Raw genomic sequence first — 18,478 nt, 5'->3', positions numbered from 1 at the left:
TAAAACAAATTTTGACTGGTTTAACCATCACATTAAGTTAGAGAACGCTAAAGCTACAATGTCAGCAGATAGCATTTATTGATTTTCCATTTAGTTTTAAAAATAGGTAACACGTTTGTTTGGTTCAAGAATCTCAGAATGTAAGAAGTTCCTGTGCATGTTTCCCATCTTTCCGGTTTTCCCCACCACCGTAATCAGTCAGTAGCCACTGTTAACAGTTTCTTCTGTATCTGTTGAGCGATTTTCATTTATTATTCAAGTAAATACAGATACACACACACACACACACACACATACATATTTTCTCTCCTCCTTTTTAAACATGATTGGTAGCCTAATTATACACATTGTTTTGCACCTTAAGCAGATTTTTTTCAGATGAAGATCTTTTGTGGGGACTAAGTGAGAGCTTCATTCTCAATTTAAAAATTGATAGTTTAAATATAAGACAAAACTGACTAAAGACAAAATGGTTGGATAGAGGGCTCTTTAAGGATCTTCCAATCTGTATAAATAATGTACGGTCATACACCACATAATGATGTGTCAGTCAACAGTGGACTACATATATGACATTGGTCCATAAGATTATAATGGAGCATGTATGGAAACCTGATATATGGCACTTGATATTGGCATCGCAGATCAAGTGGGGGAAATTATTGATATTCAGTAATGTTGCTGGGATATTTGGTTTTCCATATAAAAATATATGTATATCATCTAGGTTTGTGTAAGTACAAGCTATGATGTTTGCACAATGATGAAATCACCTAACAGCGTATTTCTGAAAATGTATTCATGTCATTAAGTGACGCATAATTGTAATTTTTTATCTGTTTCCACAATTACAGTGAACTTTGTGATGGGTTTCCCTTAATGGCTTACTTAATAAGAAGAAAAAGCTGTTACTGAGATACTTTGGTTTTACATTTGTTTAGCTGAGTATCAAATTTTGCTGCCTCTTAGCTCTCATGTCATATACACAATGTCTCTTTAAACAAGAGAATGCAACAGTTATTTTTCCTTTTGACTATTAAACTGAATAACCAGAGTTATAGCAGGGTAGAAGAGAATGTAGAACTTCTCACCTTTTACTTTCTTAGTGCCTGTGAAAGTGCTAGGTTTCACAGAGTTATTTTGTTGAGGTATGTCATAGTGAAACAATGGAGAATGCAAATGCAAATACATTAAAATTTTTAGCCAGTAAAACCTTGTTTTTAAACTCCAAAAAGAGACCATCTCTATCCTGAATAATTGTTGATATTTCAAGAAAATGATTATTGTCTGAAATAGTTTTTTTATTGGAGACCTAGTTTATTTTACAAGCATCTATCTCTGCAACTTTTATTCTAGTTAAAAGAAAAACTTGAGGCCAGGCGTGGTGGTTCACACCTGTAATGCCAGCACTTTGGGAGGCTGGGATGGGTGGATCGCTTGAGGTCAGGAGTTTGAGACCAGCCTGGCCAACATGTCAAAGCTCCGCCTCTACTAAAAATACAAAAAAATTAACCAGGAATGGTGGCACACACCTGTAATCCCAGCTACTTGGGTGGGGGAGGGGGGCTGAGGCACGAGAATCGCTTAAACCTGGGAGGTGGAGGTTGCAGTGAGTCTAGATTGCACCAGTGCACTCCAGCCTGGGCGATGGGGTGAGACTGTTTCAAAAAAAGAAAAAGAAAAACTTACATAAATTTGGCTAATATGCACACATCAGTACACACACATATGTGTGTGTATTTATAGCCATTGTTTTTATTACTTTTTAGGTGTTACTTTCAGTGAAACAGTGATCTTACTATAATTTTAACTGGCATAAGATTCTTCTTTTTTAGTGGGAGAATAGGTGTGAACAGGCTGTGTCTCTATTACAAATACATTGCCTTAAAAAGAACCTTGTAAAAGAGATGTCTGCATAGAATCATAGCTTTTGTTACATTTGGCTTTCCTAGATTTTGTGGACAATATCTCTCAACTTTTTAAGAGATGTCTCTGCTGTTTTTGTTTCTTTCTTTTTTTTTTTTTTTTCTTTTGAGACGGAGTTTCACTTTTGTTGCCCAGGCTGGAGTGCAATGGCGCAATCTCGGCTCACTGCAGCCTTTACCTCCCAGGTTCAAGCGATTCATTCTCCTGCCTCAGCCTCCCGAGTAGCTGGGATTACAAGCATGCGCCACCACGCCTGGCTCATTTTGTTTTTAGTAGAGACAGGGTTTCTCCATGTTGGTCAGGCTGGTCTCAAACTCCTGACCTCAGGTGATCTGCCTGCCTTGGCCTCCTAAAGTGGTGGGATTACAGGCGTGAGCCACTGTGCCCAGCATTTCTACTGTTTTTTTAGGTTAAAAACATTATCTTAGGGGCTAGGCATGGTGGCTCATGCCTGTAATCCCAGCACTCTGGGAGGCCAGAACAGGAGGATTGCATGAGGCCAGGAGTTCAAGACTGGCCTGGGCAACATAGCGAGACCCTGCCTCTACCAAAAAATAAAAATAAAAAAATAAGCCAGATGTTGTATGCACCTGTAGTCCTAGCTACTGGGGAGGCTGAGGTGAGAGAATCTCTTGAGCTGAGGAGTCCGAGGTTGCAGTGAGACAGGATCACACCATTGCGCTCCAGCCTGGGTGACAGAGTAAGACCCTGTCTCAAAAACAAAACAAGAAAACAACAACGTTATCTTGGGAATGAATATAGAAGAGTTACAAATACAGAAATAACTCATACTGAAGAAAGACTAATCTATTTTGAACTTTAGAGGTTTATTTTTATTCAACCTAAAGCAGTTGCTGAATGAAGATATTTATCTTTTACTTTTCACATCTGCAGGTTGGGTCTTGAGGCAAAAAAAGAAGAAAATCTTGCTGATTGGTATTCTCAGGTGAGTATGCATTCAGTTGATTTTTATGTTTTAAGTCTGTCAATGGCTGCTTTTTATGTTCAGATTCTAAAATATGGGCACAAAGGCAATAGTAATAATGTTGTATAATGCCTTTAATAATACACAGTGTAGTCATTTAACATGACATTATTTTTCAACATGTTAACATAAAGTCTTGAATTGAAAAGCAGTACCATGAGATAGTGATTGATTTTTTTTTTTTAGGTGAGATAAAGGGATTAATTCAAAGCCACAAAGATATAGTCAATAGCAGAGGCAGGATTGGAATTCAAGTTTTTTTTTTTTTTTTTTGAGACGGGAGTATCAGTCTGTTGCCTAGGCTGGTGTGCAGTGGTGCGATCTTGGCTCACTGCAACCTCCGCCTCCTGGGTTCAAGCAATTCTCCTGCCTCAGCCTCCCGAGTACCTGGGACTACAGGCACACGCTACCACGCCCGGCTAATTTTTGTAGTTTTAGTAGAGACTGGGTTTCACCATATTGGTCAGGCTGGTCTCGAACTCCTGACCTCAAGCAATCCACCCACCTCGGCGTCCCAAAGTCCTGGGATTGCAGGCCTAAGCCACAATGCCCGGTGGAATTCAAGTTTTATGGAGAGTTTGGAACCCTGTTATATGTTGTTTTTCAGTATAGTCAGGTCTGTTTTACTTCCATTATGACCTCCCACATTAAGGGGATGTTATCAACAGTAGAAGCCTCCAGATTTGAATTTTGGTTATCATACTCTTGCCACTTATACTAGAATTTTGGTTCAATGTAAGCTTTAAAGACTATTTTTCTTTTAAAAAGGTCATCACAAAGTCAGAAATGATTGAATACCATGACATAAGTGGCTGTTATATTCTTCGTCCCTGGGCCTATGCCATTTGGGAAGCCATCAAGGACTTTTTTGATGCTGAGATCAAGAAACTTGGTGTTGAAAACTGCTACTTCCCCATGTTTGTGTCTCAAAGTGCATTAGAGAAAGAGAAGACTCATGTTGCTGACTTTGCCCCAGAGGTAAGTGAGCTTGCTTTTTTATTTTTTGCAATGTTCTCTGACAAACTGGAAAATATATTTTCAACTTTTAACAACCAATTTTGAAAAATATAAAGCCATTTTTATTAAAAAGTTCTGTTTCTACCTTTATAGCAAGTAATGATTTTGTTACATTAATTAACTGACTTTTAATATTTAGAAGGTCAGTAAGTGCGTACCTTTCCTCACAGTGAACAGCAGCGACTATTTTAACTTGCCTAAATTGATATAGCAAAAATTAAAACAGAGGAAATTTGCCTGCATTTGTACTGTTGCTCCAAAATGCTATTGAAAAAAAAGTATGAAAAATGATTTTTTCTTACTAGGTTGCTTGGGTTACAAGATCTGGCAAAACCGAGCTGGCAGAACCAATTGCCATTCGTCCTACTAGTGAAACAGGTGAGAATAGGCATTGGAGTGCAAGAGAATGCTCACTGAACGTTAGAGACAGCCTCTAAAGTTGAGTCTCAGCTTTTGCTTTGTGATAGCTATAATCTCTGTTGACGATATAACATTTCATGAATGTTGATGAAGATTGAATGCAAACTTAAGTTGTCTAGAGTTTTATTCTCTAATATTCATTGTAGAGCTCCTTATCATTAAATTATAGGATTTTTAATTTAAATACTCATTTTTATGCTGTAAATTTTTAGGACTTTTCAAGGAGTTTTATTCTTAGAATAATTTTTATTGTTGGAATTGATTATAATATTGCAAATGCAATTTTTATGCCATAATTATTTTTAAATTTTAATAATACATTTAGGTTTGCATTCATGTAGGGTGTTCATAGGTTGCTAAGTACTTTTACGTCATCTCGTGTTATTCTTACAACAGTGTTGTGAGGAAGGCAGGGAAAGTTACTGTGATTTCCATTTTGCAGGTAAAGAAAAGTCTCTGAAAGATTAAATGATTTTTCTGAAATTACGTATGGTAAATGGAAATGCTGTTGGAAAATTTGAGGTTTTGGGCTTTACAGTGTCTTTCAAAGTGATCATTCATCTGTAGAGTTCAGGATTGTCTGTTCTTATTGATATTTCTAGTGATACTTTTGTATAATACATTATTAATATTGTGATACCAGTTTTTTTCTCTCAGACTATTTGGCAAAGTTTTGTTTGTTTTGGTTTACTAATTATAGATCATGAGCAGGCTATTCTAAGACAGGTATCTTCACTTTGCACTTCATTGCAAGAGCTTTCATACTCTGAGTAGATGCATCAGATATAAATTAATTCTGCTTCTCATACATAACTGCTGGATTCAGCAAATTGTTTAGCTTCTATAAACTCAGCTTTCCACGTCTTTAAAACTGAGTTATGATACCTTCTTGTGGGTTGAATGTGAGAATTGAACAGGTCAATGAATGCAGAGAACTTAACATAGAACATGACCTTTATTTGTGTTTTTAAAAACAAAATGTGAAAACCGTCGAAGTACATTAACTGTTATGTGAAGAATGTAAAATCTGTGAAGAATGTAAAATATGATCAAGTTTAGATTTGTATCCTTGAGTAATACACTTCATGAAATAGATAATACTATTCACTTATTATAAACATTGGAAATATATTTACACAAACATACATTTTATTTTTCAAATTTATTTATTACATTTTAATTCCTATTAATTATCTTGCTGGTTTAGCTGTTACATCCCTAAAGGAGAAATAAAGCCTTAAATGACTGTCTCTATTTTCCCGTGTCTTTCAGTAATGTATCCTGCATATGCAAAATGGGTACAGTCACACAGAGACCTGCCCATCAAGCTCAATCAGTGGTGCAATGTGGTGGTAGGTATTCACCCCCTCTTGTATTCTATTATTATTCATGTTCTTTTTTTTTTTTTTTTTAAAGCACATTTTGTTTTTATTTTCAAAGGATTGGGAGTATGGAACTGTTTTTGAAGTATTTAAGATAAATTGTAATTTTTGATTACTTATTATATAAAATGGTAATAAAAATTGGAAAGTGGCTGGGCGTGGCAGCTCATGCTTATAATCCCAGCACTTTGGGAGGTCGAGCCGACAGATCACTTGAGCCCAGGATTTTGAGACCAGCCTGGGCAACATGGCAAAACCACATCTCTACTAAAAATGCAAAAATTAGCCAGCTGCATTGGCGTGCACCTGTAGCCCAGCTACTTGGGAGGCTAAGGTAGAAGGATCATTTGAGCCTGGGAGGCAGAGGTTTCAGTGAGTCATGATTGCACCACTGCACTCCAGCCTGGGGGACAGAGCAAGACCCTGTCTCCAAAAAAAAAAAATTGAAAAGCTCTTTATAATGACTAAATTGTTTTCTTGCCTCTTCCAGCGTTGGGAATTCAAGCATCCTCAGCCTTTCCTACGTACTCGTGAATTTCTTTGGCAGGAAGGGCACAGTGCTTTTGCTACCATGGAAGAGGCAGCGGAAGAGGTATAAAAAGTTATTTTCCATATTAACTATGTTCCATTATTTTTGTTCAGGTTCTGCAATTTTGTTATTTAAAATGTATGTAACACCTGTTAAAAGCAAAATCAAATTAATTCAAATGTTCATGGATTTAAGTAACTGCTTATTGGAATGTTATTATTAAGGAAATAGGCTCTTTTAAATTTTTAGGTGAAAATACTTCTGGACTTTAATGTGTAGAAAAAATTATTTTTCAGGAAATTTGCATTTTGATACTGTATATCTTTCTTAACATTTATTTTCTCTTATATTCTAAACATATATACATTTTAAAAAGTTATTTGACTTCTTTTTACATTGCTTCATTGAATATCTTTCTTAATAAGTTCACACTGGCTGCTTTAACCTTTTCATAAAAAGAGGTTTTTATTGTTCAGATTGCTTTTCCCACACAATTAGTCTTAAGTAGTGCAGTTTTATAGATCTTAATGAATAAATGTACCCTAAATTTGAACACATTTACATTTAAAATGTTACAGGTCTTGCAGATACTTGACTTATATGCTCAGGTATATGAAGAACTCCTGGCAATTCCTGTTGTTAAAGGAAGAAAGACGGAAAAGGAAAAATTTGCAGGAGGAGACTATACAACTACAATAGAAGCATTTATATCTGCTAGTGGAAGAGCTATCCAGGTATCAAACTGCCACACAGGATTCGTAGGTCACTGTAAGCACAGTCCATGGACAGATCCAATAATTTCTTCTGTCATCACAGAAGTAGACTCTTAAAAAATAAGTGTTTCATGTACTTTCGTATAATAATTTCAAACAAATCTATCCCATTCCTCTGTCTCCATGGTTCGTTAAGTCATAGTATGTATCCTGAATTACTACTAAAATATGAATTCCTTTTTAACTGTTGTAGGTAAAATTACTGCTATAAAAGGGGCTGCCCAGAGCAAAATGCTTGTAAATAGTATTTTTTGACTAATCTTAATCTCTTATTATGGTAATTATGCTTATAATTAAAAACCTTATTTAATGTAAAAAAAGGGAGAAAAAAAGTGTAGTGCCATTTTAAAGCATGTGATCTTATAGTAATCATTTTCAAGGGCATAATAGGTTATTAAAAATGAAGCTTATTTTTCTCTCTCTATTTTAGGGAGGAACATCACATCATTTAGGGCAGAATTTTTCCAAAATGTTTGAAATCGTTTTTGAAGATCCAAAGATACCAGGAGAGAAGCAATTTGCCTATCAAAACTCCTGGGGCCTGACAACTCGAACTATTGGTGTTATGACCATGGTTCATGGGGACAACATGGGTTTAGTATTACCACCCCGTGTAGCATGTGTTCAGGTAAGGAAAATATTCCTGTTTATCACTCATTTTATAAAATACAAGCCATATTTACTAAAGGAAATTTGAAAGGGTGATTTTCTGAATATCATTCAGGCAGATTTCTCTGATAATAAAAACAACGTGGAATGCAGTCTGGACCCTAGTGTTTTGTGACTGTGTGTATTATTTATTTATTGTTTCTTACTCTTTTAATTTTTAAGCTACTTATATAAACATTTTTAGAAGTCATTTTTTAAAAACGGTTTATAGTATGTTAAATGAGCTGGGCATGCAGGCTCACGCCTGTAATCCCAGCACTGTGGGACGCCAAGGCGGGCAGATTGCTTGAGCCCAGGAGTTTGAGACTAAGCCTGGGCAACATGGCAAAATCTAGTCTACAAAAAATTAGCCAGGTGTGGTGGCATGCACTGATAGTCCCAGCTACTTGGGAGGCTGGGGGGGAAAAAAAAATATATATATATATATATACACACACATATGAAAAATAGATTAAGTGAAATATAGTGGGTCAGATGAAAATGCATTTAGCACGGGTAAGTGATTTGCAGGTAATTAGTAGACATTATATATAAGATTAGAAATCACACAGCTGATTCGTGTTAATAATATAGCCACTGGTAGGTTTCGACTTCTGAGAGCTCATTACTTCTATATCTGTTTCTTTGCATACATTTGGGACATTGTGCTGATTCTAGGTGGTGATTATTCCTTGTGGCATTACCAATGCACTTTCTGAAGAAGACAAAGAAGCGCTGATTGCAAAATGCAATGATTATCGAAGGCGATTACTCAGTGTTAACATCCGCGTTAGAGCTGATTTACGAGATAATTATTCTCCAGGTTGGAAATTCAATCACTGGGAGCTCAAGGTAAATTCCTAAGCTTTATCTTTTACCCCCAACATCTGCAATTTGAGTTTAGATTTTCCTCTGCATGTTTTTATAAAACGAGGTTTCTCATTACTTTCCTCTATTTTGATAGTTGTGAGTTTTCTTCTTCTTCACTTAAACTGTTGAGCACTGACACAGTTCATAGCTTTGCAATAGTGATACCTAAATTTAAAATAGTTTTTGTGGAAGCTTATTTTTATTATGTTAGAATAAAAACGATCTCGAGCGCTTGTTTATGATTACCCTCACGTAACTAGTATACTAAAATGTTTATGCCAGGAATTCATAAAATAAATAAGTTATTTACATAGACCACCAGAATAACAGTACATGGACATCACTTAGCTGTGTTTGTTATAGCTAATAGTGAAACATCTGAGATTAATTTTATTCTTGAGTTTTCACACCACATTGTTTCATACCAGTTTGTTGATTTTTATTTTGTTTATTAAAGCCAGTCTAAATTCTGCTTTATTGTTTGTAATATAACTTTCATGTATTGCACATTGTCATTAATAGATTATCTGTGGCCTTAATTCTGATTTATAAACTTACAACATTTTTTTCTTATGCTGAAAGAGGGAATCTTACTGGATCTAGAAATTAGGAATCGAGACTATATAAATTGATATTATAGGTGACAGTATGAGAGAATGTATTGAGATTGCAGCTGCATGCTTTCAAACTATGGAAGCTCAGCAATATTGGGATTTTTAGGTATTTATACATCTAGGGTTCCCAAAGTTGCTAATATTTATCATCTTATTTGTTTCACATTGCCCCTGAGGTAAATTTCCTGTGCTGAGGAATGGTAATTATATTGATAATTGTTTCCCTTTTATGTAATATACCAGCTTCTTTATATGCTTTTCTAAACATGATTTTTTTTCCATGTCATTTCCTTTTTAATTGCACTCCTTTTTGCTTACTTATAAATAGCTATTGTGTGATGCCAGTAGCAGTTTCTCTAAACTAATTTCTACTTAACCTGGGCTATAAAATGTTAAAGGAGAAATTTACTGCTGGCTACTAGCGGGATTAAAAAGAAAAAACCATCCACGTTCATTCCTGAATTCTTTGTACCCTTTCCTCTTTTATTCATTTCTCATCCTTAGACTGACTTGGCTTTGTCTTTGTCACTCTTCTTTTAGTACTCTAGTGAGCCTATACTATGCTGGGGAGGTATTCTTAGTATGAGTTGGGTCTTCTACAGCTTCGTTGTCTGTATTCCTCAGGAAAGAAAATAAAGCACCTAAGTTCTAAACTTGACGCCTCAAGTTAAAGAACATTGAGAAAGAGAGTTCACTATCTAGTGAAGGTATTAGTTATACTTTTTAATGCCATTTTAATTCCATTTAGTCAAAGAATTTCTAAGAAAAAATATTTTAGGAGATCTGGATTTATATTTATTTGACAGCGATTGACCAAAGTGTGTGAGCGATGTGTACGCGCATTTTGAAACTTATTCAGATTAATAAATGAGCTATAATATTGTTTGATTGTGAGGCCAGAACCCAGCAACTCCTGTAATTCTTCTTTGGTACCCCTTCCTATATTATGAAAGTATAAAGGGGAAAATAATCTGAGTGAATTAACTACTTTTCTTTTTACTATGTGGAAAGAGTAAGATAATTCTGTGTTGCTATAGAAACAAAACACGAATCTTTTAAAGTTAAATTTGTAACTAGTTTTAGAAAAAAACTGTCAACAAAATATTTGCCTCCTCCATGATTTGGCTTCAGATTACCTTTCCAACTTTCACTTTTCATTATCCCCTTTCATATGCCGTTTTCTCTCTTCTTCACAGACAGCCTGTTTTTCCACCTCTGTGTCTTTACTTGTGCTATTTCTTCTACCTGGGTTGTAAAATTTTTTTATCATGCAACAGTCACCAACTTATAACAAAGCAAGTCCAATACAAATAATTAAATTTTCCTGCTTGAATCATTTGAAAATAAGATGCTAACCTGATGCTCCATCACCCTGCAAACATACTCTCCTACATAATCACAGCACAAGCAACATAGTACAACCAACATATTCTCCTACATAATACAATACAAGTTAGTATAGTAGTGTTCATACATTACAATAGTCTAATTCTAGACCCCCATTCAGCTTTCAGGAGCTGTCTGACTAGTGTTTCTTTATAGCAGAATGACCTAGTTCAGAATTATGTGTTGCATGTAGTTATTATGTATCTTTAGTCTCTTTCAGTCTGCAGTAATTTCTCAGGTTTTCTTTGATTATCGTGATCTTGACACAGCACATTTTTTATTAGCCTTTCTATTAGCTAATTCATATTTTATGGATCCATGGTTTCCAGTATTAAGCACTGGGTTATAGAATCTGTTACTGACGTTATTTGTTTTGATGCTCAAAGTGTCTTCGGCTTGACCATTAGGATCCCTTAAAGCTGGCTTTTGTGTCCTTTTGGCATTCTCCATCATTCTTTAAGCACTTCCTTGCTGCTTGGCACAAGATGTTGTAGGCTTATCTTGTACTTTTTCTACCCTGGCCCAGGAATTAGCCATATCTCTAAGAAGCTCTGGTTCTTTTGAGTGGAGAATGGTATTTAGTGCTGGGTATGCTCATTGCTTTTGAGCTATCACTTCTCCCGGGCCTTCTCAGTAGATGGAGCTACTGAATATGTATATATATGTAGATATCCATACACACATACAGATATGTGTACACTTTTACCACCATATTTCCATATCTATTTATGTATGTTGAAAACCAAGAGTTTATATCTATACTTTAAATTCCAATAAAAAACCATAGGGTGGACCTGGCGTGGTGGCTCATGCCTATAATCCCAGCACCTTGGGAGGCTGAGGCAGGTGGATCGTCTGAGGTCAGGATTTCGCCACCAGCCTGTCCAACATGGTGAAACCCTGTCTCTGCTAAAAATAGAAAAATTAGATGGGCTTTGTGGTGGGTGCCTGTAGTCCCAGCTACTCAGGAGGCTGAGGCAGGAGAATCGCTTGAACCTGGGAGGCGGAGGTTGCAGTGAGCCCAGATTGCACCATTGCACTCCTGCCTGGGTGACAAGAGCGAAACTCCATCTCAAGAAAAACAACAACAACAAAAACCACCGCAGGATGCATTCTAGTTTTTCTCCATTTTGTGCTTGTAATTCCCTTTTCTGACAATGAAAAGCCTAGCTCAAATTATCCTTAGTACATGAATTTATTAGATTAGTCACCCTGTATGCCACCAATCTCTCGTTGCCATTGCCACCCCCTCCTCTGCGTGAATGGGCTCCTTATCCCTCGTGGGCTCTGTCACTCTATGCAAAGCTGTTCTCATGTGCAGATGCCCTCTTGCCTAACTGAGGCTCAGACACCCTGCTGTGGGCTACCAGTGGCCCTCTCCTTTTTCAGTGTAGGATCCAGTCCTATTGCATTTTGCCATCATGCCTTTTAGTTTTCTTTAATCAGAAGTAGTTCCTCAGACTTTCATTATCATTTATGACATAGGCATTTTTGTAACTATAGGTCAGTTTTTTATAGAATGTTTTTTAATTCGGACGAATAATTTACTTATTAATTTTTACCTTCTCCAGTAACTTTTCTTCTCTCTTCCAGCTGAGGAATATTCTCTCACTGCTAACTTTCTGTATTAATTTTTGTTGTTTATATGTGTGCCTTATTTACCCTACAAAGCATGAAGCTTCTAGAGGACAAGATGTATTTCTTATTCATCTTGTAAATCTCATTGCACTTAGCACTGTATCTTACAAATGCATGTAATACATCCAGTATAATACATTGGATAAATAACTAAAGCAATAAAATAATGTAATATTTAGCATACAACAGTTGGTTCCATTGTGGTTTTTTTTTAAATATCATTTTGTAAAATAAGTCTTCCCTAGGGGTAAATAAGGACTTCTAGAGTAATATTTAAAATTTTTCCTATGGCATTTTTGGGGTGACCACCTGTCATCTAAATTGTATATGGAAGCATGTAACTCAGGAAAATCCCAAGTTAATTTTAGAGGATTATTCATTCAAAAAAATTACTTAAAATCTACTATGTATCAGATAAGGTTCTGGGCCCTAAAAATGTGGTTTTTCCCTAAGCCTTAAGGATTTTAATCCCCTTACGGGATACACATTCACAAGATTGAACATTCCCAAGTCGTAAACTTGCATATAGTCTGTCCTTAAGTTGCTTTGGAAAAACCAAAGAGTATAGGGGAGTGGTTCTTAAACTGTGGTCCTAGGACCAGCAGTGTCAGCATCACTTGGAAACTTGTTAGAAATACAAACTCTTGGCCAAGTACGGTGGCTCACGTCTATAATCCCAGCAATTTGAGAGGCTGAGGCCGGCAGATCAGTTGAGGCCAGGTGTTCGACACCAGCCTGGTCAATGTGGTGAAACCCCATGTCTACTAAAAATACAAAAATTAGCCAGGCATGGTGGTAGGTGCCTGTAATCCCAGCTACTCGGGAGGCTGAGGCATGAGAATCAATTGATCTTGGGAGGCGGAGGTTGTAGTGAGCCAAGATCATGCCACTGCACTCCAGTCTGGTCAACAGTGAGACTCTGTCTTCAAACAAACAAAAAAAAACAAATTCTCAGGTCGCATCCCCAACCTACTCTAATAAAAGACTCTGGAGGCAGGACCCCAAAATCTGTGCTTTAACAATCCTTATAATCATAATGCATGCTAAAGATAAGAGTACCCAGAATGAGGACTTTTCAACCAGAGAATACCACTGTATCAGGAATGAGTCAAAAATGTGTCATGTTACTGATCCCCTCAGTGGCTTGTAGCCTCAAAAAGTCTTCGTTTAACCCCATTCCTATGCAAATACGTTTTCTGGATGCTATTTTGTGAGAAAAGTTGGGAATGCTGGTCTAGAAACTACTCTGTTTCTCCATGAAGAACTTCTGGGGCAGTAGATTTTTTTTTTAGGTTTATGCCTTCTTACTGGAATAGGTTTCTACAGTATCTCAGCAGTATTACCTGTTTTTTTTTTTTCTCTTGTTTTTTTTGGCTTTGCCTTTGTTTTTTGGGTTTTTTATAATTTATGGTAGCTAAAGCCATGAATTACATCTGTATATTCAACTGGAGACATTCATATATCATTTTAACTGCCTTTTTTATCTTATAGGGAGTTCCCATTAGACTTGAAGTTGGGCCACGTGATATGAAGAGCTGTCAGTTTGTAGCCGTCAGACGAGATACTGGAGAAAAGCTGACAGTTGCTGAAAATGAGGCAGAGACTAAACTTCAAGCTATTTTGGAAGACATCCAGGTCACCCTTTTCACAAGGTAGTTTCTTAAAATTGCTTATGTCTCTCTCTCCAGATCTTCCACCACCTTTGAGATCTTTACCAAGGAATTTTTGGGGTTGCCCCAATTGGAAGCAATTGTTCCCTCCCTCTGAACCCCCATGCTACTTAATTTGCCACTCTCTGGGTTTTTTACTTGTATTATGGTTATTTTTCTAAGTGCCACCTGCTTCCTACTAGGTTTGCAACAATGAAGTTTCTGTCCCCTGGACTAATTTGGGTTAATTTAAATCTAGGCTTTTATGAGATATAAATGTGAGGGCTTCAGGCATTGACTGTCATCTGCTGGGTACACATTGGCAGCACCTGGGAAGCTTTAGTAAATACCAGTGCCTTCCTAGAGATACTAATTTAATTGGACTGGAGAGGGCCTGGAAACTATACTGTTAAAAGCTCCCCCAGGGGATTATAATATAGCCAAGGCTGAGAACCTCCTGACTGGGGTTGGGAATGAGGGATAGAGGAAGGCCTTAGGGCCGCCCTCACCTATGGAGAGAGTCATTTAGAATCATAGATCTCAAGGTAGTCAAGGCAGAGGCACCAGAAGATTAGTGGCTTAGCGTGGCACCCTGTTTTCTTTCTCTGCCTACCTGGAGCAGAAAGCAGAGAGGAAAGCCCACTACCACTGAGGATGGAGGTGCAGTTTGGGAGAGGGTAATGCCTGCATCTTATATAAGGGCACTTATATATTGATAAAAGATATATATATATTCCTCTGAATCTGGAAATATTTAAGACCAGGGAGGTTTAAAAAATAACATAGACTCCCATAGGTAATGTGTTAATGCCAGGAAAAGAATGATGGTCATTAGAGATTTAACAGCAGTAACAAAAGTTATGATCACCTGTTGTGTGCTTAACACATTTCCCATGCATTTAAGGCTCACAATAGTGCAATGATAAGGTAACTCTGATATACTGATGGTCACTATGAGTGATAGACTTGAGATTCAAATTGAGTCCTTCTCACTCCCAGGTTGTCTTTTCATTAAATTGTGCTTATGTGTTTCATAAAACTTTGTCATATTTGTGAGAACAATTATGTATTGTTTTCTAATTTTGTTTGGTAGGGCTTCTGAAGACCTTAAGACTCATATGGTTGTGGCTAATACAATGGAAGACTTTCAGAAGATACTAGATTCTGGAAAGGTCAGAGAGTTTGGAAAACTTTTCAGTATAAGAATATTTAAGTAAATTGTATTTTAAGGCTCATTGAATTTATGCATGGTATTAATACCTTTTTAAGCCAATCACATAAAAAGATAGTACATTACTCAACATTTATATGTACGTATAAATATATAATCTAATTATATAGTCTTTGTTTTACATTTATATGTCATATAAATATATAATCTAAATATATAGTCTTTGTTTTATATTTATATATGTCATATATAAATATAGTGTGTGTGTATATGTATATATATATAGTCTTTGTTTTCTACTGGCTTTTCTAAAGCATTACAACATTATACCATTTTGGGGGTAATACTTGTGAACTGATTATGTAAGTTTTTTTTTCCCCATGTTTGATATGCTACTTTCTAAAGAACATTAATTCTGTATGTCTCCTTTTTTCTTTATTGAAAATCTGTGTTATTTCAGTTTCTGGTAAGTTCCTAAAGTAACCATTGTTCTAGCTTTAGAGCTGTCATATGCGGCTGCCTAAAACAAGGTGAAAAGTCAGTTTCTTTCCATTCCCTGACTGTACATACTCAGCTCTCAATTGATTGAACTTTCTGAATAATGAGAAGAAAAGTGTTGCTTATTCTAAGCCTGTTTTTCATAATGAGGGGCTACCTGGCTCCTTAGAACTCCATAGGCTTTCCTAATTAGGTAGTTAATGGCTCTTTAAGATTTAATTGATTTTATATATTGGGTATATGCAGTTGTTTCGAGCTGAAACTTTAAAGTTTCATAAAGAAGAATTTCAGATTTGCAAAGTTATTTAATTATTGGAATGAATCACTTATGGACTTTAGTATTCTGGTATACATGTTTGAATATACAACCAATCCTGTGTCCTCAGGTTACAAGTGAGAAAACCATGGGCCAGTGTCTTAAATGAATACCCCAAACTATACAGAATTTAGATCACTCTTCTGACTAGGTTTAATGCATTTTCCTCTGTATCTTTTTTTGTGTTTTAAATTCATGCTGAGAATGAGCATGAATTTATGTAAAGCTTTAATTTTTATGGTCATAACGTATTAATATGTCTCTTATTTCTTGAGCTGGGAAAATTAATCTCTCTGGCTTTCATTTTACTATTCTGTAAAATGAGTACAAAATAGATAATATCAAAATCCTCTTTAGATCTATAATTCTTCAGTGTTTAGCCTTCTATCCTTATTGGGTTATTGCTTTTGTAATTTTTCACCTTTCTGGTTTCTGTAGTTTTTCACTTGACTCAAACTTCCTGCTTTTTTTTTTTTTTGGTACAGGGTCTTGCTTTGTTGCCCAGGCTGGAGTACAGTGCCGTGATCTCGGCTCACTGCAACCTCTGCCTCCCGAGTTCAAGCGATTCTCCTGCCTCAGCCTTCCACGTGGCTGGGATTACAGGCGCCTGCCATGACACGCAGCTAATTTTTGTATTTTTAGTAGAGATGGGGTTTTGCCATTTTGGCCAGGCTGGTCTTAAACTCTGACCTCAGGTGACCCACCTGCCGTGGCCTCCCAAAGTGCTGGGATTACAGGCGTGAGCCACTGCACCTGGCCTTAAACTTCCTACTTTTAATAGAAGGCTAGACAGTGGGTAGCCATCTGTAGCACTGTGTTTTTTCTTTCACTTTATTTACGATTTTCTGTGGCTGAGAGCAGTTGATGAGAAGCTGCTGAAGAAGCTGGAAGCATGTTGCTGTTACTGCCAATGTCTCTTGGGTCTCCACCTTCATAGATCTCTAGATTTTCAGCTGCTTTACACTGTATTTCTAATATGTGGAGATTATTCACAACTTTGCTATTCCCCTCATTAACTCTCCAGGAATATTTTATAGGGCTACTACATAATTGTTATTGAAGACAAACCTCATTTTGAAGTAGACATGCTTTAAAAATTAGCATTCACAACTGGGAGAAATTTTAATACTTGTTGGCTGGGCCCGGTGGCTCACACCTGTAATCCCAGCACTTTGGGAGGCCGAGGTGGGTGGACTGCTTGAGGCCAGGAGTTTGAGACCAGCCTGGCCAACATGGCGAAACCCCGTCTCTACTAAAATTACACAAATTAGCTGGGCATGGTGGCACACGCCTGTAATTCCAGCTACACTAGGAGGCTGGGGCACGAGAATTGCTTGAACCCAAGAGGCAGAGGTTGCAATGAGCCAAGATAGTGCCACTGTACTCCATCCTGGGTGACAGAGTAAGACTGTGTCTCAAAAAAAAAATTTTTTTTTAATGCTTGTCTAGTCTGACATCCACAATTTATTAAAAGAAAACCCAGAGCTAGAGATTTTCAAACACATGGCAAATTTCAAAATTAAAATAAAATCCTAAGTATCTTGATTCGGCCTTTGTTTTATGTAGTCTAAGAATGAAAAATTGAAAGGTTTTTTTTTTTTTCCTTACACAAAATGATTTTAGGACTTTAAAAATGATCCACTTACCTATATAACATGTTAGGAACATTGTGGCATAAAGTGAAATTTGCGTGATTGTTAATTGTTGCTGTTAACAACACATTAAAAATCAGTTTGCTATTTTTGATGTTCCTTTTCTCCTCCTGATAACTATTTAGATAGGTAGAGCAGGTGTAGTCCAGGTTTGAAATGAGGGAGATATAACTGGAGTTCAACTTCTTTTCAGCCACTGTGTTTTAGCCAGTTTATGGGAGATTTGAGGGTACTGCAAAGATGTCTTTGTTGTGTCTTGATGTGCTGTGAGCGTAGGTTTTGGATAGTGGAAAAACATTCTTTCCTATCTTTTATAACTGAGCAAAGTTCCTAGTAGGTTTGCAAAGGTATCATAGCCTGAAAAAAGGTTGGGAGACCTATCCTTTTTGCTTGCCAGTTTAATATAGAACTCAAATGTTCCTTCTGCAGAATAGAATTGAAGGAGTTATAAATACTGATTACTTTTCCTTTTCTTAATTAGATTGTTCAGATTCCATTCTGTGGGGAAATTGACTGTGAGGACTGGATCAAAAAGACCACTGCCAGGTAAACCTAATTAACTGGCAAAACTTTTGAAAAATTGCAATGGAAAGGAATAGCAATTTGCAGCATAAATGAGTGGAATTCTTATTTGTTATTAATTTCAGGGATCAAGATCTTGAACCTGGTGCTCCATCCATGGGAGCTAAAAGCCTTTGCATCCCCTTCAAACCACTCTGTGAACTGCAGCCTGGAGCCAAATGTGTCTGTGGCAAGAACCCTGCCAAGTACTACACCTTATTTGGTCGCAGCTACTGAGGGATGAACGAAAGCCCCCTCTTCAACTCCTCTCACTTTTTAAAGCATTGATATTAGTATCTTCTCAGATACAGACCGTTTTATGATTTTTTAAAAAGTAAAAGTTCTAAAATGAAGTCACACAGGACAATTATTCTTATGCCTAAGTTAACAGTGGATAAAAGACTTTTCTGTAAACAACTCCAGTAATAAATATCATGAACTAA

At 36.6% G+C, this 18,478-nt stretch overlaps 1 protein-coding gene across 1 annotated transcript in view; it reads left to right on the top strand.

Annotated features, from left to right (window-relative positions):
- Positions 1–18,478, top strand: part of EPRS1 (glutamyl-prolyl-tRNA synthetase 1) — a 77,906-nt gene extending 59,428 nt beyond the window's left edge. The window contains exons 21-32 of the mRNA NM_004446.3: positions 2,821–2,872; positions 3,680–3,889; positions 4,234–4,306; positions 5,621–5,700; positions 6,221–6,322; positions 6,838–6,993; positions 7,463–7,660; positions 8,359–8,532; positions 13,680–13,840; positions 14,931–15,009; positions 17,956–18,020; positions 18,122–18,478. Of these exons, the coding sequence (NP_004437.2) occupies positions 2,821–2,872; positions 3,680–3,889; positions 4,234–4,306; positions 5,621–5,700; positions 6,221–6,322; positions 6,838–6,993; positions 7,463–7,660; positions 8,359–8,532; positions 13,680–13,840; positions 14,931–15,009; positions 17,956–18,020; positions 18,122–18,272 (1,501 nt within the window). The 3' untranslated portion in view covers positions 18,273–18,478. The remainder of the gene's footprint in view (positions 1–2,820; positions 2,873–3,679; positions 3,890–4,233; positions 4,307–5,620; positions 5,701–6,220; positions 6,323–6,837; positions 6,994–7,462; positions 7,661–8,358; positions 8,533–13,679; positions 13,841–14,930; positions 15,010–17,955; positions 18,021–18,121) is intronic.

Source organism: Homo sapiens, chromosome 1 (assembly GCF_000001405.40).
Source record: "Homo sapiens chromosome 1, GRCh38.p14 Primary Assembly".
Lineage (NCBI taxonomy): Eukaryota > Metazoa > Chordata > Mammalia > Primates > Hominidae > Homo > Homo sapiens.
Note: the sequence above shows the minus strand (reverse complement) of the source record. Positions and strands in the feature narration are given on the sequence as shown.